Source organism: Homo sapiens, chromosome 13, assembly GCF_000001405.40.
Source record: "Homo sapiens chromosome 13, GRCh38.p14 Primary Assembly".
In the NCBI taxonomy this organism is placed as follows: Eukaryota; Metazoa; Chordata; class Mammalia; order Primates; family Hominidae; genus Homo; species Homo sapiens.
In genome coordinates this window covers 36,857,421-36,881,817 of record NC_000013.11, presented here as the reverse complement: position 1 = coordinate 36,881,817, position 24,397 = coordinate 36,857,421, and the positions used below count along the sequence as shown (strand labels likewise).

Genomic DNA, 24,397 nt, shown 5'->3' with positions numbered 1-24,397 from the left:
ACCCTCTTCAGCCATTGCTTTAAGGCAGCCTGACTAGATTAAGTAAACAGAACTTGAACACAATGACTTAACTATACTTTATAAATTCATGATTGTTAAGCCACAAAATCAACCTTTCCAAATAAAACTGAGTGTAAGTCAAACTGCCAAGCGAAAAGAGCAGCTATGGAGCTCTCAACTCTCCCTTTTGTCATAGTTTATCTCTGTACAATGCCAGATAAAGCCCAGATGAGGAATAAAGTGATGTGACTATTGCTTTATACTTATTAAATCTCATCCGTTATTGTGGGACCATGCTGCCATCCTCCTCACCTGAGGTGCCCGATAATGATCACCCTAGCGGGGGGTTATAAGGCACCTTTGTTCGAAAGAAGTTTATAGAATTGGACTCAGAAAGGTACAGCTTGCCCTCCAGGGAAGCAAAGGAGAAAATTATATTTAATGCATATTAAACAAACAATTGTTGGAGATTATAAGCTACATCGATTCCAAGATCCCAAAATACTTGAGTCAGCTTACTCCAAAATGTTACCAGCCAGCCACTTTAAACATTAATGAGGTAGCTGGTTTCTAAAATCTGGAAGGAGGAGGAGGTTTTGTTTAAGCCAACTATTTCACAGAAGAGGAAATACAGTTCGACCTCAGGAAATTTAAATGAGACTGCTGAATAACTGGGAAAGAACATCTCCTGTGGATGACAGGGCAAAGAAGAATTAAGCTGATTTTAGGCCAAATAACAAATGTGACAGCTGTGCTTTTTTGTGTATGTATTGGTGTGTGATAGTGTATAATTTCTAGAAAAGCAGTTCTCATGCATTTGGGTCTTGAAAATTTCCACTTTTAAAAATTATTGAGAACTCCAAAGAACTCTTGCTTCTGTAGGCTGTATCTATCAATTTTTACCATTTTAAAAATTGAAACTAAGAAATTAAAAAAATATTGATTGAATCATTAAAAAAACTGTATTAACATAAAATATTTTTATTTAAAACATTGTTTTCAAAAAAGTTATTGAGAAGAGTATTATTGTTTTATATTACTGCAAATCTATTTAATACTTGGCTTAATAAATGGCACCTAGATTGTCATCTTTTCTCCATATACTCTATTGTGTTATGTTGTTTTGGTTGAAGTATGTGAAGCGAAGTTAGTTCACACAAATAAGTAATTGGAAAAGAGAGAACCTCATAGTCCCCTTAAAAGGATCTCAGGGGACTCCCAGGGATCCTTGGGGCACACTTTGAGAGCCACTGTCCTGAAAAGTAGTTTGGAAGACTATGTTAAGAATGGCTGTCCAGGAGTGGTGAGATTATTCACGATTCTTTTTTTCTTTTCTTTTCATTAGTATTTATTTTCTACAAGAAGATGGATTGCTTGTGCAAACTAAAAATGAGAAAGAAAGAACATACTCATGTTGAGGGCAGATTATGGAGGCCCTGGAAAAACCCAGGCAGAGGAGTTTACACTTGGGAGACCAAGGAGCCACTGTCATTTCTTAAATGGGAAAATGATAAGAGCTGTGTTTGGGAGTAAGTGAATTCGAATTGAAAGAGAGAAAGAGAGATGCTACTTCAGAGAAGTGGTGTGGTGAGTCAGACCTCAGGTGTTGGCAGAAATGGAGAGAAAGGACAAACTCCAAAGACTTTGAGGGCAGAATGACCTGAGACCTGGATATAGGAAATACAGGAGAGGGCAGAGTCAAAGACAACAGTTTTAAAATTAAAACATTTGAAGAATGTTTTTTCCCTTCTATCCAACTTTGGGGCCTGGTTCTGTTGCTCAGGCTGGAGTGCAGTGGCGCAGCCTTGACCTCCTGGGCTCGAGCCATTCACCCACTTGAGTAGCTGGGACTGTAGGTGTAGATTGCCTCTTTCTATCCAACTTCAACTTTTTCTGAATGTTACTCCGATTAAGCTAATTGAAGTCTTGTCGTGTTTTCCAGAGTTGGCCACCCTGTTCAAGGGCTTAGGAGAAAGTCAACACACTTCGCAACTTGAATTGGTCCCAGCTGCTCCCAGAAGAACGGGCGGGTTGGTCCCTATGCCACCCCTGGAGAGCTACTCGCCGCCCACTTTGCCGTGAAGGGCTGTGCGGTTCCCGTGCGCGCCGGAGCCTGCTGTGGCCTCTTATGCACTCCACCACCCCCATCAGCTCCCTCTTCTCCTTCACCAGCCCCGCAGTGAAGAGACTGCTAGGCTGGAAGCAAGGAGATGAAGAGGAAAAGTGGGCAGAGAAGGCAGTGGACTCTCTAGTGAAGAAGTTAAAGAAGAAGAAGGGAGCCATGGACGAGCTGGAGAGGGCTCTCAGCTGCCCGGGGCAGCCCAGCAAATGCGTCACGATTCCCCGCTCCCTGGACGGGCGGCTGCAGGTGTCCCACCGCAAGGGCCTGCCCCATGTGATTTACTGTCGCGTGTGGCGCTGGCCGGATCTGCAGTCCCACCACGAGCTGAAGCCGCTGGAGTGCTGTGAGTTCCCATTTGGCTCCAAGCAGAAAGAAGTGTGCATTAACCCTTACCACTACCGCCGGGTGGAGACTCCAGGTGGGTCGTCTTTACGACGTCAAGGTTTATTTTCAGAGTGAAGGTCGTGTGCCCCATTGATGGAGAATGATGGGGCACCAGCAGACAGGGACCTCTCCCAAAAGAGAGAGAGAGAAGAGAGGAGAGGGAGGTTCAGTTTTGAGGGACTCGTCCAAAATTTTGTTTCCCGGAATGAGGCAGCTGTCCAATCAAAGAAAGTTCCCATGAAAACGATATTCCTGCCTGGAATGCCACAGGAACACTCAATCCAAAGAGAATCGCAGTAAAACCCTGTTATAGCCAGTGTGAAGGAATGAAGATAAACTAGTCAGGAAAATCTAGAAAGAAGATATTTTCATTTGATTTCATTATGCTGGTAAGCTTTGTGTGATTTTGAAAATGAGGCAGATGGCTAATCGGAGAAAACTGCCATAAAAGTTTTATTTTGAGGTATCTGGGACAAGTCAACATAATCTTTTACCAGTTCTTGGGGTCCTGAAAGGTTTTAAAATGGCCTTGATAATGATGAGCTGTAAAAATTAAACATCCTCCTCCCCCCGCCCCAAACAACTGAACTGAACTGTACTAAACTGAACTAAGGCAGGGTTTTTGGCTGCTACTTTGTTCAAGTTCAGGTAAGTAGAAGATATCTCATGTCTAGGTCTGAAAACAGCCAATGAAAGAGTTGCTGGAAATCATTCCAGGCAGTTATTTTTAAAAATGGTTTTAAGTACAGACAGGTATCACTTAATGATGGAAATACATTCTGAGAAATGCATCAGTAAGTAATTTCTTCCTTGTGTGAACACCCTGGAGTGTACTTACACAAACCATGAGCCTGCTACACCGTTAGGCTATATGGTGTAGCCTATTGCTCCTAGGCTACTAACCTGCACAGCATGCTACTGTACTAAATACTGTAGGCAATCCTAACCACAATGGTATTGAATGTATATGAACAGATCTAAACATAGAAGAGGTACAGCAAAAGTACAGTATCATAATCTTGGGGGACCACTGTCTTATATTGGTCCCTCAAGCAAAACATGATTACACAGTGCATGATTGTATAGGAAAGTATCTTTCTAAAACCCTTCACACCCCTGTGTGTGTGTGTGTGTGTATGTATATTATATATATGTGTGTAAGAAATATGTATATATTTCCTCCTCCTCTTGGAGAAGCCTGGTGTTTGTCTTTGTTCCTTCACACTGGCTATAACAGGGTTTCACTGTGATTCTCTTAGATTGAGTGTTTCTGTGGCATTTCACACAAGAACACAGTTTTAGGAGAGCTTTCTCTCTTTGGCCATCTGCCTCATCCCAGGAAACCAAAGCGCTGGCACATTAGCTCAGGGAAATTGCCCATGTCCAGTGAAGAGATGGTCCTGTCTACGTAGGCAGGTTCACTTAACCTTAAAACAGTATCCAATAAGTGATTTATGCCCAGCCTACCTCAGTCTTAGCTAAGTGATCCTTCAAGCTCCCAGAACTTAACATCTACCTGTGTGTGGATGCCTCCCACAGCCCATTCAGGGACTGAGGCCCTGGCTGAGAAGGTATTAGAAGGTTCCACATGCTTGGCAAATCTGATGCGTTTCCCCTAAATCCTGGAGCGAGTTGCTTTCCACCCTTCTTCCCTGGTTCATTTTGACTCTTTTCGCTTACTTAAAAAAAAAAGTCAATAATGTCTAAGCTTATAACAAAAATGACTGGATTCCATTTTGTGTTTCAAAGATTTGAATTACATTAAGCATCCAAAATATATCCAAATGGAAAAATGTTCATTAATAAATCATTTCTGTCTTCCTGAATAATGTAGTTGTAAAATTTAACAACTTGTAAGAAATATCTTGTAAAATGTACCTGGTTTTCCTTTTGAATATTCAAAAGCCTAATTTTAAAGAACTATTTGACATTTTAGTTTTTCATGTCTTTTGTTTTTTTGTCTTGCTCTGTTGGCAGGCCGGTGTGCAGTGGCGCAGTCTCTGCTCACTGCAACCGTCACCTCCCCAGTTCAAGCGATTCTCCTGCCTCAGCCTCCTGAGTAGCTGGGACTACAGGCACGTGCCACCATGCCCAGCTACTTTTTGTATTTTTAGTAGAGACGGGGTTTCACCATGTTGGCCAGGATGGTCTCGATCTCTTGACCTCATGATCCACCTGCCTCGTCCTCCCAAAGTGCTGGGATTACAGGCATGAGCCACCATACCTGGCCTTTAGTTTTTCATGTTCTGTAAGATTCTTTTAGGAATGATAGTGTGAGTGTTTTACATATGGTAAATATATTTCATTTTATCATAATTTAGGTGTGAATTTCCAGAAGGAAAGATGGGTAACGATTATATTAATTTAAGGTAATATTTAAGTTACAGAGGTTTTTCTTACTTGTGTTTTTTTAATAGAAAAAGTAGATTTTATATCTAGTTAGCTATCCATATTTAAAGTAAATATTTTAGGAATAATAAAAATGTTAATGTTAAACAAGTTTGCTGAGTTCCTATTTATCATAAAGCTTAAGTTTTGCCTTTGAAATCTCATTTTTTAGCCATCCATTTTAGATACATTGAAGGCTGCATTCCCATTTTCTTTTCATTCACACATCCACTTCAATAATTGACTTCAGTGCTTTCCAAGTTATGTGTGGTGAGGGATCAGTTTTTATTTTTTTAATTTCCAGTCCTTCAAACGAACACTTTTATAGTACAGACAAATTACTAGGCAAATGAAATTTTAAAAAGACTTAGAAAATATAAGCCCAATTTTAAAAATTATTTAAACAAGTGTAAACTAGAAACTCTGTCAAATTGCTGTGAAAAGTTTCTAAGTACTAATTTCTTCACAGACTCGTACCCAACAGTTGGTGAAGGGTCCCCAGTCCTCAGACACACTTTACCTGGCACAGTTCTGGTGGAAGCCATGCAAGACTGTTGTTGTGGTACATGATGATTTTACTCCATTTGGCTGGAGGTTATTTCAGGAGTGTAATTTCTTTTTTATATAAAATATTCATATTATATCAAAACCACATGACTTTTTTTAAAAAGACAGAAGTGTTTTTTTTCCAGCTCTGCTTTGCATGCCCATGTGCCCTGTAACTCCTTCCGCTGTCTCCCCCCGTGTGACACTGAGATGTAAAGATAGCATGGTGTTTAAAAGTGGCATAAGATAGGCATGAGTGTCTGTAAGCGCACTGTCATATTTACAAGCAGCAGTTGAGATGTGGAAGTGGAATTAAGTAATTAGGGATAGCTGTGTTGTGAGTGAAAGTATTTAAAAATATGATCAGTGCACATTTAAGGCAACGGAGCCAGTCAGGTCAAATAACAACTAGGATGAAACTATCAGTTTTCTTTGCAAACATCCACTGGCTTTGATTTTACCCAGATGGTAAAAATATATTATCAAGATAGTTGTTATGATAAAGGGAAATGTATCCTTTCTTTTCTCTTGGTGCCTCAGATCTACAGGCCATGAAGAAATAGAAGTCTCTACATTCAGATGGATAGGAGGCATTATATTTTTATCAGTGTTAGGAATATACCGTAGATATTTTACATTAAAACTGAAGTCACAGAGATGATTCAAATTCTTCTTCATAAAGAAGTGAGTGTTTACTTGAACATCGTTAACATTTTGATGAAGGGTCATTGACAAAGAAGCCATACACATTCGCTGTGTCAACTCCTCACTTCAGACTATTCATGAGGCACATAATCTTTTTTTTTCCTGCATAGTTGTGGAATATGAATACATTAAGGGGAATTTAATGGTTTATGATCCATGTCACTGTTTGATGGTGATGTTGAATGTTTGTTCTCTGGTGTCATAAGGCAGCATACGTATACAATAGCTTAGAAAAGGGGAAGAAATTATTTGTTTCTCTGCCACCCTCACCTGTAGCAGTTTTAGTTTAAAACCTTTTATTTACCCTTCTTAGTTTATTTTCTGTCCATATAACTGAAAATTATTGTTTGTTAAGAAAGAGATAGATGTATGGTGTCAAAGGCAGATGGCAGACTTCGGGGTTAATGTCATTGTTATTGTAATTGTCTGTTTATTCCAAAACATTTACCTTTTTTTAAGACTTTATTTTTTAGAGCAGTTTTAGAACATTTACTTTTTATGAGTTTTTATTAATACTTGCCTGTGGTTGACAAATCAGTGGTGTGATTAGAACCAAGATCTGTCCTATTTATACCCGGAGACAAACTCTTCTAAATAATTCTTGCTTAGTTCTTTCATATTTCTCTCTATTATTACTAAGAATTATGACAGTAACTCTAGATAATATATAATATGCTTACATATCTATTTCCAAATTTATCACCTTTTAGATAATGTCATTGACTCTCTACCATAAAAGATGAGGATTTCACTCACATACATACATACATACATATACATATATATATATGTATTTTTTTTTTTTTTTTTTTTTTTTTGGGACGGAGTCTTGCTCTGCCCAGGCTGGAGTGCAGTGGTGCGATCTTGGCTCACTGCAAGCTCCGCCTCCTGGGTTCACGCCATTCTCCTACCTCAGCCCCCCCAAGTAGCTGGGACTACAGGCACCCGCAACCACGCCCGGCTAATTTTTTGTATTTTTAGTAGAGACGGGGTTTCACTGTGTTAGCCAGGATGGTCTCGATCTCCTGACCTCGTGATCCACCTGCCTTGGCCTTCCAAAGTGCTGGGATTACAGGTGTGAGCCACCATGCCCAGCCTCACTCACTTATGTTTTCATCTTCTTCCTTCCTCCTCTTCTCATCCTTGATATCTATATTTTAGTTCATAGTTTGTATTTGTTTTTGGTTATTCCAGTGGTTTCCATTGTGGAATTCGGGGGTAAGAATTATTTGTCCTCAGAAGGGCATTGGTCTGTTGACTTCTAGTAGCCAGGGTTAGAGTGGGAAGTTGAGGTCGGTTGATTCTCATTTCTTTGTAGGTGACTTTGCGGTGATCCTCTAGGAGCTTTTGGAATATTCCAGTTATCCCGCAGTGTTTGAAATTCAAGATGGAAAGACTAGGTCTGGATCTTTTCTTCATTAATTGAGCTCTGCACACTCTGTGGCTCTTTTCAACATGAAGACGTAGGTCCTTTGTAGCTCTTTGAGGTTTTCCTTTGTTATTTCTTAGACCACTTCCCCCTTGTATTTTCTTTGCTTCCCTGTCTGGAACTTATGTTGGTCACAGATGGCTCTTCAACAACAGTTTTGGAGTAGCTACTTTATGCCAGGCATTGTAACCTTCTAGGAGTCGGTAGGACGTGAGGGCCTGGGCAAAGCTTGCCCTTAAGAATTTGAATTTATTCTGAAATTTTGTGTATAATCAGAATCAAGAACAGTAACATTCTTTTTAAAAAATGAAACCCAGAAAAGCATAGTAAATGAACAAACATCATTTATGTTTTGTTATTGCTGCTTATTTTATTTTTTTGAGACAGAGTTTCACTCTTGTCACCCAGGCTGGAGTGCAATGGTATGATCTCGGCTCACTGCAACTTCCACCTCCCAGATTCAAGCGATTCTCCTGCCTCAGCCTCCTGAATAGCTGGGATTACAGGTGCCCGCCACCACACCCGGCTAATTGTTGTATTTTTAATAGAGACGGGGTTTCACCACGTTGGCTAGGCTGGTCTCAAACTCCTGATCTCAGGTGATCTGGCTGCCTCGGCCTCTCAAAGTGCTGGTATTACAGGCGTGAGCCACTGTGCCCTGCTGCTGCTCATCTTTTACTTAGTCACTTTTATTATTATTCACCGTTTGTGTTTTACTTAATAACTTTTAATTACTCACCTTGAAATCTTTCCATTAAGGACACATAGAATGTTTTTATTTCAGTGGCACTACTGAACCTGAAATTGAGTCTGGTCATCTAAATAATTCAACATGATCTCTGAAGGAAAAATATTCTGGGGATCACTTAGGGTTTCATTGCAAGCAAGAGAAACTGATTTTGCCTTGGGGGAAAAAAAGACTTATTTGGCAGAATTAAAGAAAGACGTAACAATCAGGTTGCCAGAAGGCCAGGTATTAGGACAGCTCTGGTCATTTCCAAGGTAGGAATAAAGAGCAGGTCTCTTTAGAGTGCTGACACTAGAAAGATCCTTCTCCAAATGCTTTTGTGAATTATGACATTCTGCTTAAGATTCCGGTTACAAGGAGAAGACTGTTACCTTAGCTTACTCACATGCTTGCTTCTTAGGTGGAGATGGGGACTTAATCGACAGTTTTATGATGAGCACAAAGACTAATGGGAGTAGTTCCCAAGGGGAAAAACAGCTCTATCATAAACAAAAAATAGATAAGAACAGCAAGTATCCACTCTGTTGTGTACTGATGAGCAATGTTCAATTCTAACTGCCTTGTTCCTTTCTGATCCTAGTACTGCCTCCTGTGCTCGTGCCAAGACACAGTGAATATAACCCCCAGCTCAGCCTCCTGGCCAAGTTCCGCAGCGCCTCCCTGCACAGTGAGCCACTCATGCCACACAACGCCACCTATCCTGACTCTTTCCAGCAGCCTCCGTGCTCTGCACTCCCTCCCTCACCCAGCCACGCGTTCTCCCAGTCCCCGTGCACGGCCAGCTACCCTCACTCCCCAGGAAGTCCTTCTGAGCCAGAGAGTCCCTATCAACACTCAGGTCAGTAAGAACTATGGTCTGTGGGGAAATACGGGAAAATAAGCCCAACATCATGATTTATGATGAACAGTCACAATGACAGTCATTGTAACTGTCATTCATATAGTATAAACAGTTTACAAAGCAATCAGCCTTAAAATGATTAGGACTATACCTATTTTGAAGCAGTTACCCTGGAGATAGAACATGTTTTTCCTCTAGTTTTAGTTCTAATGCTCTGGAAGCTCTCAGAAACTAAATGGATTTGAATAGTATCCCTGGGAATTTCCAAGGATTTTTTTTTTTAAGGCAGTAGAAATAAGATGAAAAGACTTCTGTAATCCAAGCAGAAGACTTGGCCTGAGGACAAGCAACATGGAAGATCAATGCTAGGCCTTTACCTTGGTTGCCTCTTTCAACAATCAAAGGAAGCCCTTGCCTAAAACATATGCCTGCATCCTTTGAGTGAGGCAGAAAGTGAAGCCCCAGCTCCAGCCAGTGCATTATCCCTTTCTGCCATGTGAAGCCAGGACAGCATCTTAAATATAGAGCTCTTCAGTTTGCTGAATTGAGAAAGCATATGGAAGGGAAAGGGAGCCTCTAGCATGCTGTCATAATTGCTCTTGCTACCATACCTGTAAAGTGGATCTAAGTTGAGATAATGAATAAAAGATACATATGCACTTTGTGAGTGTGAGATAAATACTGTGCGGAGCTGACAAGTTCCTAAAGGCATGCATAAATACATTTGGTGCCAGATGTTACAATCTGCCTCATTCATTTATTCCTATAATCATTTATTTAATGGATATTTATTAAACTCTTACTATATGCAAGCATTGCCTTAGGATTGCTGAAAGGGGAATTAAAAGGTTAATAAAAATTGTCCCTACGATGTGGGAAGATAAAGAGGGAATTGCCTCTTCACCTCTCAGTTACTTAGTTCCTTTTGCTCCTCAGCAAGTTACATAAGCATCTATTATATTTGTTGCACTATATTATATAATTCCTGTGTGTCTATTTTCCCCATTGAACAGCGAGCCTTCTTTTTTCTATGTCTAGCACAGAGCCTGAAATGCAGTGGTTGCTCATCAGTTGCTTATTGAATAAATAAATTACTACACAGGCGTTTATTTATTTTTATTTTTTATTTTTTATTTTGAGACGGAGTCTTGCTCTGTCACCCAGGTTGGAGTGCAGTGGCATGATCCTGGCTTACTGCAGTCTCTGCCTCCCAGGTTCAAGCAATTCTCCCACCTCAGTCTCCCAAATAGCTGGGATTGCAGGGGTGTACCACCATGCCCAGCTAGTTTTTGCATTTTTAGTAGAGACGGGGTTTCACCATGTTGGCCAGGCTGGTCTCGAACTCCTGACCTCAGGTGATCTGCCCACCTCGGCCTCCCAAAGTGCTGAGATTACAGGCAGGAGCCACTGCACCCAGCCCACACAGGCATTAGAACATGGACATGGAGCTCCAGACCATAGGCACAGGTTTTATTGACTCAGTAAGTGATGACTGAGCACCTGCTAAGTGTCTGGCACTGGGCCAGTGCTAGAGGTGCAGTGATGATTAAGACGGTGTAGTTGTCCCCCCTTATCTGAGGTTTCAGCTACCAGAGGTCAGTTGCAGCCTGAAAATACTGGATGGAAAATTCCAGAAATAAACAGTTCATAAATTTTAAATTGTATGTGGGGATGAAACTTCGTGCCATCCTATCCAGGTTCTGAATCATTCCATTGCCCAGCGCATCCACGTTGTAGATGCTATCCACCTGTGAGTCAATTAGTAGCTGTCTCTGTGATCAGATCTACTGTTGAGGTCACTCTGATTTAATAGTGACCACAGAGTGCAAGAGTAGTGATGCTGGCATATTGTTCTAGTTGTTTTACTTTATTATTAGTTACTGTTCCTAATCTCTTACTGTGTTTAATTTATAAATTAAACTTTATCACAGGTATGTATAGGAAAAAAAACATAGTATATGTGGTATTCTGTACTAGCCACAACTTCAGGTAGCCACTGGGGGTCTCGGACTGTATCTCTGGTGGAGAAGGGGGGACTACTGTGGTCTCTGACCTTCAGGAGTCAGTAGCTATTGAGAGCCATCACATACAGGTAGCCTGTAGCAGTCCAGGCAAGTGATTATAAGGAGTTGAACTAAAACAGGGATATGGGGTTGGAAAGAGGGCAGTGAATTGGGGGAGGGAGGTCCAACAGGACTTACTGTAGGGTGAAGGCAGAGATGCTGGAGGGTAGCTTGAGAGTCATTAACTCAGTGTAGGAGCAGATGGTTGAAGTTTTGCAAGTGGCTGAGTTCACTGAGAAAGAAGAAATACAACAGAAAGAGAAGTCATTTGAGGACAGAACCTTGGTTAAGGAACAGGAGGATAATAGTGTTGCAAAATATATATTTACCTAACACACCTCTATGCTACAAAGACTTCCTGTGCTGACTTTGAATTCCTGCCCTGGTTACTCTGACAGGTTGATGTTCTTTTTACTCTTCCCACCCAAGCAGGACAGACACCAACAGTGATGCAGAAGCTGGTTAGTTTCTCACAGAAGGCATAGCCCTTTTCACTTCAAAGAAAATAATTCTTGTCTGAATGATTAACAGCAAAATGCCAACCTGAGTAACAGACCTGTAGATAAACAAGAGTAAAAGGAACCTTTGCGATTTACTGGTTCAGCCTCTAAATTTTTTAAAAAGCTCTATTGAGGTATAATTCACATACCATACAACCACCCATTTCAAATGTACAATTCAGTGGTTTCTCATATGTTAATTTTTTTCAAGTAGTGGTGAAATATATCTAACACAAAATTTGTTTAACCATTTTTTTTTTTTGAGATGGAGTTTTGCTCTTGTTGCCCAGGCTGGAGTGCAATGGCACAATCTCGGCTCACTGCAACCTCCACCTCCCAGGTACAAGCCATTCTCCTGCCTCAGCCTTCCAAGTACCTCGGATTACAGACATGTGCCACCACACCCGGCTAATTTTTTTGTATTTAGTAGAGACGGGGTTTCACCATGTTAGGCTGGTCATGAACTCCTGACCTCAGGTGATCCACCCGCCTCGGCCTCCGAAAGTGCTGGGATTATAGGCATGCTCCACTGCACCCAGCCCATTTTAACCATTTTTAAGAGTACAGTCTAGCCGGGTGCAGTGGCTCCCGCCTGTAATCCCAGCACTTTGGGAGGCTTAGGCAGGCGGATCACTTGAGGTCAGCAGTTTGAGACCAGCCTGGCCAACATGGTGAAACCCTGTCTCTACTAAAAATACAAAAGTTAGCTGGGCGTGGTGGTGCATGTCTGTAATTCAGCTACTCCGGAGACTGAGGCACGAGAATCGCTTGAATCCAGGAGTCGGAGGCTGCAGTGAGCTGAGATTGTGCCACTGCACTCTAGCCTGGTGAGGACTATTAAAAAAAAAAAAAAGTACAATCTGATGGCATTAGGTGCATTCATAATGTTGTGCAACCATCACCATATCTATTTTCAAAAATTTTTTCATCACCCCAAACGGAAACTCCGTACTGATTTAACAATAGCTCCGTATTTCCCTACTTTGCCAGCCCCTGGTAAGCTCTATCTACTTTCTGTCTCTCTGAATTTGCCTATTGCAAGTACCTCATATACTAGATTCATGCAATATTTGCCCCTTTGTGTATGTTTTATTTCACTTAGCCAAGTATTTTCACAGTTTGTGTTGTGGCATATATCGGTAGTTCATCTTTGTGACTGAACGATATCTCATTGTATGGCTATACCACATTTTAAAAAATCAATTCATTAGCTGTTGGATATTTGGATTGTTCCCACCTTTTGGCTCTAGTAAATAACACCCTGCTTTCAATTCCTTTGGGTATATACCTAGGAGTGGAAGTGCTACATTATATGGTAATTCTATTTTCAGTCCCCCTTTTTTTAATTTTAATTTTTTAGAGACAGGGCCTTGTTTTGTTACCCAGGCTGGAGTATGGGGGCACAGTCATAGCTCACTGTAACTTCAAACTCCTGGGTTCAAGTGATCCTCCTCAGCCTCTGAGTAGCTAGGATTACAGGTGTACACCACCATGCCCAGCTAATTTTTAATTTTTGGTAGGATGGGGTCTCATCATGTTGCCCAGGCTGGCCTCAAACCCCTGGACTCAGGTGATCCTCCCACTTCAGCCTTCCAAAATGCTAAGATTACAGGTGTGAGCCACTGTGCTCAGCCTGTTCTGCTTCTTGAGTAAATAGACATATTTAGTCAAAGACCTACAAAAAGGTCATCTTGCCTTATAACTTTTTCACCAAAGTCATAGGAGTCATAGTCCATTTTCTCACAAGGAAATACCTTACCCATGGTTTCCTAGTATGGTCCACGAACCCTGCATTAGAATTGCCATTGGGGCATGTTAAAATGTACATGGCTACATTCAACCACTGACCTATTGAATCGGAATTGCTAAGGATGGGGCCAGGAATCTGCATTTTTAGCAAGCTCCACTGGCAATTTTTGTGTACACTTAAGTGTGAGAACTACTTGTGTGGACAATTCGATACAACAAAGGCAGATTGATCCAACCTTTTACGCTGTTGTATTCCACCACGCATGTTAACAAGACCATTCTGAACTAACATTAGACATGCATACTGAAGGAATTGGTTGTTTTGTGCTGAGGTCCTCCATAAAGAGTTTTTCCTGTGCCTCATGAGTTTTTACTGTGTTATGAATTATTATCCACGGAATGCATCCCATTTGCCTAACCATGATCACTGTCCAGTCACAGGACTGTCATTTGGGTAGAAGGGCCCTTCTCAGCGTGCCTTGGGTACAAGGTTATAATTACGTTTCAGGTATCTTGAAGTATCTCAGGGATAGAGCGTCCCCGTGGCCATTGTACAATTTGTGACAACATAGAAGCTGAAAATTAAGCTCACTTCAAAGAAGGTTTAGCTTTCTCTGTGTTTTGCAAGCCAGATCACAGACTATTCTGCTATGAGAAAAGCTAGGAGAACAGGTTCTGCATTTGAAAGTCTTGCCCTGAAGTCATTAGAACTCAATGATAACTCAAAAGTCGGAGGGAAAATGAATTGACCCTTTACTGAGGCTCTCAGAACAACCAGTTTCTTCTGTAGGGTACTCACAGTGTCACTTCAGAAGAGCCTTGTTACATTAATATGGTCTCTCTGTAGGAGTAGCACTGTCCACCAAGCTCAGGAGTTTAATGGCAAAAGATGTCGGATCCAACTGTCTTTGTGTGGTTTATCGATTTGACAATTCCTTTGTTCTACTGCTTTCTTTTAGTTGACACACCACCCCTGCCTTATCATGCCACAGAAGCCTCTGAGACCCAGAGTGGCCAACCTGTAGATGCCACAGCTGATAGACATGTAGTGCTATCGATACCAAATGGAGGTAAATTGCAGATGAACAGTGAAATGTAGCTATTTTCCAAAAGTATTTCCTATTACCCCCAAACAAAGCAACTCAAAAAAGAAAACCAGAAATGTACTGGCCTGCTGTTTTGCATGTGTTTTAAGAGGCAAATGGGATGGCTTTGCATTTTAACTTTGACATTCCTCAGTACAATAGAATTAATGTTTTGTTTATCATCATTACTAGAACAAGTTAACTTTTTATTTTAACTCAGCATTTAGAAGTTTGTAGTTCTTGATGTTAAGTATGGAGTTGGGAACTCAAGAAGTTAGGGATTTTATTCTATTTGTGTTTTTACTATATGTTTATAGTGGTGTCTTTCAGTTGGCCAGAGAGGTACTCTTAGAAATATACATAAATGAGGTTTTTACAAAATTTTATTTGCATCTTATAATAGTCTAGATAAGTGTTGCTCGACCTTAATGTTCATATAAACCACGTTGTGATCTTGCATAAATGAAGATTTTTATTCTGTAGATCTTACGGTGGGGTCCAAGAATCTACATTGTTAAGCTTCCTTGTAATGCGGAGGCTACTGTTCCATGAGCCAGATCTTGAGTAGAGAGGTTCTAAAGAAGTGTACCATTTGAAATACTCCAAGTGAATATTTTATAAGCTAAGATCCTTTTGTAAGAGAAATAATAACCCCCAAATTTATCTGTTTCATAAATTTATATTTAATGCATATAGGAACACACTCTAGATGCAAGAATGACAAGGATGTTCAAGGAAGAGAAAGGTAATACAATCACTAGAAAGGCAGAGAAAGGGTGTGAGTGGCAAAGAAAGAAGGAACTCTGAACTTTGGTTAGTTACAGGAAAGTGACTTAACTTTATGTTGGGTGTGAAAACATCCATGGGTTTCCTGATGAAATATCCAGCTCTCTTTAAATGTTTTTTTTTTTCCATGCATAACTAGATATCCACAAAGCAGAATGTGAGCCCCTCTATGTGGAAGCTTTTTTTTTCCTTAAATAATTTAATGTCCTATTCAGCATTATTGATTTGCTTTTTATCATAGTCAAACTATTGTTTTCCATCTCTAGTTTGTTAGAAAATGATACTTTTTGCCACAAGGATTCAAGTGGGCACAGTAACAGCAACATGCCATCTTTCACATGTTTCTGAAAGAAGAGGTGACCTGCCAGCTTCCTTTGAGCTGTGCTTGCTTTAGGGCCGACAGTTTTTTTATGTTCATCTGTTCATGTCATGTTTTCCCTGGCCCCTTCATGACCAATACACATTTATAAATGCTCTAGCCATGGAAGATGAACAAGGACCATGGGCTCTACATCTCAGGTGTGCTAGTGAAATGAGCCGGCCCCAAACAGCTCCCATGAGAGCTACAGGTTCTAAAAGATTGCAGAGCGGCATGCTTGGTCTTGCAGCCGACTTTCTGGTGAAAAGCATTAACTAAGTTTCCTGGTGGAATCATGAACTACACAGCCCAGGTATGACAGTAGCCATGTGTTCTCTGGTTTGTTTTCTTCCAGACTTTCGACCAGTTTGTTACGAGGAGCCCCAGCACTGGTGCTCGGTCGCCTACTATGAACTGAACAACCGAGTTGGGGAGACATTCCAGGCTTCCTCCCGAAGTGTGCTCATAGATGGGTTCACCGACCCTTCAAATAACAGGAACAGATTCTGTCTTGGACTTCTTTCTAATGTAAACAGAAACTCAACGATAGAAAATACCAGGAGACATATAGGAAAGGGTAAGAGCAAAGATGTTATTCCTTTAGTCATCTAGCCGAAATGTAGATGGTCATGTGTGTAGAAGTGCACGTGACCACCCTCACATGTTGGTCATGTGCCCCTGTGGAAGGACCCCAGGGCTGGTGAGCTCTGAGATAGCTCTGACATTACCACTGGGGAAAGCACATAGGTTGTCAGGATCTTAGTCCCTCTTCCTCTAATGTCATCATGCCACTTTCTAGGGGTGGCATGGAGTGGGGATTGTGAAGACAAGCAAGATGATAAATATGAAGAAAGCCGGATGAAATTATTAAATAGAAGTGTTATGCATTATTTTTCATTTCCCTAAAACTTACAAACTAGGATCATTTCTGAAGAACAGGAATTCTGACTAGATGATTATTTGTATCAGGTGAAGTTCCCTTTGGAGACTTAGCAGCTAGGTAGTTAGAAAGAATGACTGATTTATGTCTGGAAGCCTTTGGCATGTGATTGGGGCTCTCCTGTGTGCAGGCTGATTGGGTACAAGTCATACTGGTCTCTTTTCTGACCAGTGATGCTTTTGAAGCCCATCTCATTGGTCTGAGTGATGGTAGCAAATCCCAGCTGAGTGTGTGGTCTGGCTGAGGATCTTTAAATTATTTTCTTTTCTATTGGAATAGTTGGTATCTTCGATTGATACCATGGAGTCATAGATGTGAAGAACCTTCAGTCATTTGACCTTTTCTCTCTCCATCCAGCACTTAAGCCACCTCGGGAAGGGAGCCTGAGCCTTTTCTTTCAAATTTCCAGGGGAGATTCATTGTTCCATTTGGTGATGCATTCTAATATTCTTCCTAACATACCTTCAAAATGTCTCCTGTTGGAGTAAACCTAAAAGCCATTGTTTAGAAACAGGTTGAAATCATTCATTGATGTTGACTCTTAATGGAGACAGTTACTTTATGTTTATTTATATTCTGTCTCCATAGTGGCTTTGAGGCCACTTACGAGAAACCATTGCAGTGAAATGATAAATGAAAAATAGAAAATCAGAAACGGGTCGAGGGGAGGGGAGAAGAATCCAGATATGTCATCCATAAGGGTTAGCATTGTTAACCAAACTAAGCAGGGTCGGGCCTGGTTAGTACTTGGATGAGAGAATGCCTGACCTCCTGGGAATGCAGCCCTGTAGGTCTCAACCTTATTTTACCTAACCCCTATTCAAGATGGAGTTGCTCTGGTTCAAACGTCTCTGACACAGAGAGCTGGAGAAGATGGTGGTGATTTTACTCTAGGTTTCCTGACAAGGAGGGAAGAAATGAAAAACTCACTCTGGAATGTAATTTTTATCCCAAAGGGGGAAAATAGCCATTCCTCAAAGGAAATAATCTTTGAATTAATTCCTAAACAAGTTTCTTGAGCATGGCTTTACTTTCAAATGATTTTTAGAAGAACCTTCAGTGAACTCTCAAGGCAAAACATTAACACATAATGTTGTGAAGCAGTTTGCTGAGGAGCTTTGCAGATTGGTCTGCATGTTCAATTTCTGCTGGTGCCAGTGGATCCAAAGACAGGATTAAAGTATTAAAGGAGTGCTGAATGTGTTCTAGGAACCTGTCTGCAAGTCGCTTCTTCAAGGTGCTCCTGCTGAGGACATGGAGAGTGTGTGGTAGTCTGTTTCACTGCTATAAAGGAATACCTGAGACTGGGTAATTTATTAAAAAAAGAGGTTTATTTGGCCCATGGGTCTGCAGGCTGTACTGGCATGTGCTTCTGGTGAGGGCTTTAGGAAGCTTCTGAAAATCACTGTGTAAGGCAAAGGAGAGCCTGTGTGTCACCTGGGAAGAGACAGAAAGAGAAGGGAGGGAGGTGCTGGTCTCTTTTTAACAAACTGATCTGGCAGGAACTAATAGAGTGAGAATCCACTCATTACCTCAAGGAGGGCACCAAGCAGATCATGAGAGATCCTTCTGTGTGACCCAGATACCTCCCACCAAGCCCCACCTCCAATATTGAGAATCAGATTTCGATATGAGATTTGGAGGAGTCAAATATCCCAATTATATCAGTAGCTCCTGTGTTGTTGACTGAGAGCTCGTCTTTAGGGTTAAGAAGCCACATGAGCAAGAGCTGGGACTGATGACCTGTTCTGCAAACTGGAGCACCTAATAGTGCTCCCCTCGATGCAAGGGTACTCACTGTCACATGGTCCGAAGACAAAGTTACAGTTTTCTCAGAGCTGCTTAGAAATTACTCCAATGTGGAAAAAAATTTTTTTTTGGACATGCCACAAGCCTTGCCATAAAGCGTGTGGGTGGAAAAAAGTGTTGGCTTGGGAGATTTTAAAGCAAGGGCAGTCAGTCTTCTGTGAGATCACAGGATTCTCTCTCAGATGCTGCCATGGGTTATCTGGTTCTGAGCAGCATGGCTTCCAGGAGCACCAGCCTGAGTAAGTTATCTGCAAAATGCATTCCTCGGCTAGCAAATGAGTTAACTTGCTCTGTGGAGTTAGTTAACAGACATTAGGTTTTAGTAATATGCATTCATCTCACGAGTACTTACTGAGCATCGCCTCTCAGCCAGACTGGACACGAGGGATGCAACAGTGGAAGAAAGACCATGAGCAGGCTTCCTGGATTGCTTGCTGCTGGGGAAAGACAGACACGAAATACAACATACAGTATGTCCAATAGAGAAACACAAAGCAGGGGAAGAGAATGGAGACTTTAAACCAGCGTAACCAGGGAAGGCCTTCCTGGAAAAGTGACATTTGAGAAGATGTTACCAGAAAGGTGTCCCGATTCAGACCCCAAGAGAAGATTCTTGGAACTCACACAAGAAAGAATTTGGGGTGAGTCCATAGAGTAAACTGAAAGCAAGTTTATTAGAGAGGTAAAGAAACAAAAGAATGGCTACTCCACAGGCAGAGCAGCAGCATGGGCTGTTCGACTGATAATGTAGTTATTTCTTGATTATATGCTAAACAAAGGGTGGACTTTTTCCTTTTTCATGAGTTTTCTGGGAAAGGGGTGGAGATTTCCTGGAGCTGAGGGTTCATTTCCTTTTTAGACTATATAGGGTAACCTGGGCACGGCCATGGAATCTGTAAACTGTCATGGTGCTAGTGGGAGTGTCTTTTAGCATGCTGATGCATTATAATTAGCATATAATGAGCAGTGAGGATGACTAGAGGTCACTTTAATGCCATCTTGGTTTGGGTGGGTTTTGGCTGGCTTCTTTATGGCACTCTGTTTTACCAGCAGGGTCTTTGTGACCTGTATCTCGTGCCAACCTCCTATGTCATCCTGTGACTAAGAATTCCTAGCATCCTGGGAATGCAGCCCAGTAGGTCTCCACCTTATTTTACTCAGCCCCTATTCAAGATGGAGTTGCTCTGGTTCAAATGGCTGTGACACAGAGAGCAAGGAAGTCAGTGTTCGTGGAGCCTGAACCAGTCTGTCAGGTTAAATTTTAGAGCTCCCTGGCTGAGGAGAGGGGGTCCATTCAAATTGTTGCGGGGCCTTCCAGTTTTATTTTTGGTTTACAATATGATCTGACTTTACACTTTCGAAAAGATTGCCTGGCTGTTCTATTGAGATTAATTAGACGGTGATGGGCAAGGATGGAAGATTTTTTTTTTTTTTTGAGACGGGAGTCTTGCTCTGTCACCCAGGCTGGAGTACAATGAAACGATCTCAGCTTACTGCAACCTCTGCCTCCAGGGTTCAAGCGATTCTCCTGTCTCAGCCTCCTGAGTAGCTGAGATTACAGGCGCACACCACCACACCCAGCTAATTTTTGTATTTTTAGTAGAGAAAGGGTTTCTTCATGTTGGCCAGGCTGGTCTCGAACTCCTGACCTCGGGTGATCCCCTGCCTTGGCCTCCCAAAGTGCTGGGATTACAGGTGTAAGCCACCCCACCTGGCCTGAATATATCATTTTTAAAAATTCTTTTTAGTGACCAGACGCAGTGGCTCATGCCTGTAATCCCAGCAATTTGGGAGGCCAAGGCAGGCAGGTCACCTGAGGTCGGGAGTTCGAGACCAGCCTGGCCAACATAGTGAAACTCTGTCTCTACTAAAAATACAAAAAATTAGCCGGGTGTGGTGGCGGGTGCCTGTAATACCAGCTACGCAGGAGGCTGAGGCAGGAGAATCACTTGAACCCAGGAGGTGGAGGTTGCAGTGAGCCAAGACTGTGCCATTGCACTCCAGCCTGGGCAATAGTGCAAGGCTCCATCTCAAAAAAAAAAAATTCTTTTTATTATAGTTAATGATGAGCCATTCCCCTACCCAGTAGATATCAATTAGCCTTCACACCATTTCTGGCTTTTATTCCTTGTGACTTAAATTAGCTAAATGGCTGGCCCTGCTAAAGGAAGGTCATGTTGCCACCCTGTCAGCACTGCGTGCATTTTGAGTTTTGTTTTCTCTAGTGGTGATGATGGGTCCTCATTTACCCCACTTACCATCTAGTGGGTATGTCCCTGAGGTAGAGGGGCTGGTAGAAAGCATTTATTTGTAGCCATGCAGCAGTTAACTGGTACAAAGGGACTGAACTTATGACTTTGACCTCACTAGCAAGATGCTTTAAATAGCTACTAACAGTTAGCACTAGCACACCAAAAGCTACCACTTAAATGTCAAAGGCAATACCTTGGGCAGCCTGGAACATCTCATTCCAGTGTGGGATCTATCCATATTCTTCCTTAGAAACTAGGCAGACCACTTGAACTCTCTACAATGACATATCAAATAATAATAATATGATGATGATGATAGCTACCCCCACTGATTACCTAATATCTAAGAGACACGCTGGTGGCCGGGCGTGGTGGCTCATGCCTGTAATCCCAGCACTTTGGGAGGACGAGGCGGGTGGATCATGAGGTCAGGAGATCGAGACCCTCCTGGCTAACACACTGAAACCCCGTCTCTACTAAAAAATACAAAAAAAAATTAGCCGGGCGTGGTGGCAGGCACCTGTAGTCCCAGCTACTCGGGAGGCTGAGGCAGAAGAGTGGCGTGAACCCAGGAGGCAGAGCTTGCAGTGAGCCGAGTTGGTGCCACTGCACTCCAGCCTGGGCGACAGAGCGAGACTCCATCTCAAAAAAAAAAAAAAAAGGTAAAAAAATTTCTCCCTTTGTGGGAGAAAATAAGTGATAACCATTAACCCTGGTTATTGAACTTTCTGAGATAGATCAAGCGTATCCTGAAAATAATTATCACATATTCCAAATCATTGCATTGTTTTTGGAATTGGGCTTTTTTTAAACCATTTTATGAATCTTTATTTTCTTGTATATCTCAAGTTCTGTATAATTCTAGTAATTCTTCTTGTTTTATGAAAGGAATTATCTTGACATAAGGATTTCACCAGTCAGCTCCTTGCAGAGATGTTACCGGAAAGCGGTCCTGACCCAGACCCCAAAAGAAGGTTCTTAGATCTCTCACAAGAAAGAATTTAAGGCAAATCCATAGAGTAAAGTGAGGGCAAGTTTATTAAGAAAGGAAAGGAATAAAGAATGGCTGCTCCATGGACAAAGCAGCCACCAGGGCTACTGGTTGCCTATTTTTATGGTTATTTCTTTTTTTTCTTTTTTCTTTTTTTTTTTGAGATGGAGTTTCGCTCTTGTTGCCCAGGCTGGAGTGCAATGGCACAATCTCGGCTCGCCTCAACCTCTGCCTCCCGGGTTCAAGCGATTCTCCTGCCTCAGCCTCCTGAGTAGCTGAGATTACAGGCATGTGCCACCATGCCCTCCTAATTTTGTATTTTTAGTAGAGATGGGGTTTCTCCACATTGCTCAGGCTGGTCTCAAACTCCCGACCTCCGGCAATCCACCCGCCTCGGCTTCCCAAAGTGCTGGGATTTCAGGCGTGAGCCACCGTGCCTGGCTGGTTATTTCCTGATTATATGCTAAACAGTGGGTAGATTATTCATGCCTCCCCTTTTTAGACCATATAGGGTAACTTCCTGATGTTACCATGTTCGCCATGGCATTTGTAAATTGTCATGGCACTGGTGGGAGTGTAGTAGTGAGAATGACCAGAGGTTACTCTCATCGCCATCTTGGTTTTGGCCAGCTTCTTTATTGCAGCCTGTTTCATCAGCAAGGTGTTTATGACCTGTATCTTGTGCCAACCTATCTCATCCTATGACTTAGAATGCCTACCCGTCTGGGAATGCAGCCCAGTAGGTCTTAGCCTTATTTTACCCAGCTTCTACTCAAGACGGAGTCACTCTGTTTCAAACTCCTTGGGCAGAGGGTCTGCATGTCCAGGTGGTATTTGGGTTGCTTCCTTTCCCAATGGATTTCACTTCCCTGTCTCAAAATAGTCCTTTTGTTCTGCCTCTGAACACATGTAAGGCTTCTCATCTTAAAAAAAGCAAATCCTAAAAAATATTTTAACATAGGATGCAATGTCACACTGTTACAGTCATTAAACTTGATGTTGCAGAATACTTAATATCCTGAGAAAATGTTCACAAGATATTATTAACTGAAAACAAGTTTTAAAACATCCTGTAGAGTATGATCCCAATTTTCTTCTTAAAAATGCACATGGCTGAGCATGGTGGCTCACACCTGTAATCCCAGCACTTTGGGAGGTCGAGGTGGGTGGATTGCTTGAGCGTAGGAGTTCATGACCAGGTGGGCAACATGGTGAGACCCTGTCACTACAAAAAATACCAAAAAGTTAGCTGAGTATGGCGGCGTGCATCTGTAGCCCCAACTAGGCAGGAGACTGTCTCAAAAACACATAAAAAAGACTGAAAAATGTTAATAGCTAATAACTAATAGATGTTAGCTTTGATTATTTCTGGGCTGTGGATTTGTGGCTGATTTTTCTTTTCTGTCTGTATTTTCTAAATTTTCTATAGTGGGCTTTCTTGATCCTGTGAGGATGGGGTGGGCATGGTGTGTAAGGGTGCTCTGGAAGGCAGCAGCAGTGGTAAGGGAGACACCTCACAGTGCAGCCCAGGCAGAGTGGCTGCGTGTTTGAGTGACAGTATGGGACATGCCGTGTAGTACAGTTGGACCCAAACAAGCTTGTTTATCATGTTGTCCTGAGAAACTTGGTCATCAGGGGCAGTCTTGGAGGACCAGCCTTGCTATCAGCCCAGAGGTGACTTTGTGTGAGTTAGGAAAAGGTGCCTCTTCCTCAAGAGAAATTACTGCCATCTGCTGGGAAAGGATTGTAATAATTACACAAAGCTCTGAAGACTAGGAGGCAAACCCTGGTTTGCAGTGGTTGTGCAGTGCACAACGGTAGGCACAGTCCTCTGGAAGACCTGCCTCCATCCTCTGACCTAGGCCCTGGTGTGGATCTGGAAAAATGTATTTTTATATTATTAGTATTTTTTTTTACCACCCATTAAAACTTTTTTATTGTGGGAAATTTCAAATAGGAAAACAGAGAGGGGAATATAATGAGTCTTCATCTTAGTATCTCCGGCTTCAATAAAGATTCACATTCTGTGCCGTTCTTTTTCATCTATCGCTCTACAGTATTTTTGCTAGAATATTTTAGAGCAAATCTCATGCTTCATATCCTTTTTCCCATCTATTGGAGTTTATATCTAACTATATAAGAAATAATACCATTATTACACTCAGAAATATATATATTTTCTTAAAGCTTCTAAAATAGCTGTGCAGAAGAAAAGGCAACAAAGGCAAGGGGAAGATTAATTACAAACTCGAGAGGAGGCGTTGTGCTTGTGTTGGGACGTTTAGGTTTTGTCCTAAGAGGAGTGGAGAGGCTTCTGCATCTTCTGTGCAGGACACTCTGCCTTTTATGGTGATCTTTTTGCCTCCCTCCCAGTAAGGAGGGTATCCCTGCACCTTCCTTCTACTTTGGGACACTGACTTCTTCCTCTGTTAGTAGGTTCCAGAGATTGGCACACTCTCACCAGCCTGCCCAACCTGCCCTCTTCCCAGTCATTTCCTGTCATTCAAGGCAAAAGAAGAGGATTGAAAGGGGACACACTATTGTAGTTCCACCCAGCAAACCCAAATTAAACCCAAGGTTCTTCTAGTCCTCATTAACCACAACACAGGACTCCACACTCCATGATCTCATAAAAAGTGGGTGGCAGTCACACACAAATGGAAAGTTCAGATAAAGAAAGACACAGCCCAAGCAGATACAG

The 24,397-nt window shown here is 41.9% G+C and overlaps 1 protein-coding gene across 20 annotated transcripts in view, besides 1 other annotated feature; it reads left to right on the top strand.

The window, feature by feature from the left end:
- Positions 1 to 24,397, top strand: part of SMAD9 (SMAD family member 9) — a 76,024-nt gene that overhangs the window by 39,037 nt on the left and 12,590 nt on the right. For 8 of the 20 annotated variants that reach the window (XM_006719827.4, NM_001127217.3, XM_047430354.1 and 5 more), the window contains 4 exons: positions 1,943 to 2,540; positions 8,903 to 9,160; positions 14,435 to 14,545; positions 16,060 to 16,281. In XM_006719827.4, the coding sequence (XP_006719890.1) occupies positions 2,129 to 2,540; positions 8,903 to 9,160; positions 14,435 to 14,545; positions 16,060 to 16,281 (1,003 nt within the window). In that variant the 5' untranslated portion in view covers positions 1,943 to 2,128. Of the gene's footprint in view, positions 1 to 1,040; positions 1,530 to 1,942; positions 2,541 to 8,902; positions 9,161 to 14,434; positions 14,546 to 16,059; positions 16,282 to 24,397 lie in introns of those variants that run through there. The other 12 variants (NM_005905.6, XM_047430361.1, NM_001378621.1 and 9 more) reach the window with 4 other exon arrangements.
- Positions 2,215 to 2,715: an enhancer, noted in NCBI's record as "H3K4me1 hESC enhancer chr13:37453240-37453740 (GRCh37/hg19 assembly coordinates)". NCBI's record gives its function as "activates a minimal SCP1, AML or CMV promoter by ChIP-STARR-seq in primed H9 embryonic stem cells {active_cell/tissue: H9 hESC(primed)}" and the evidence as "EXISTENCE:reporter gene assay evidence [ECO:0000049][PMID:30033119]".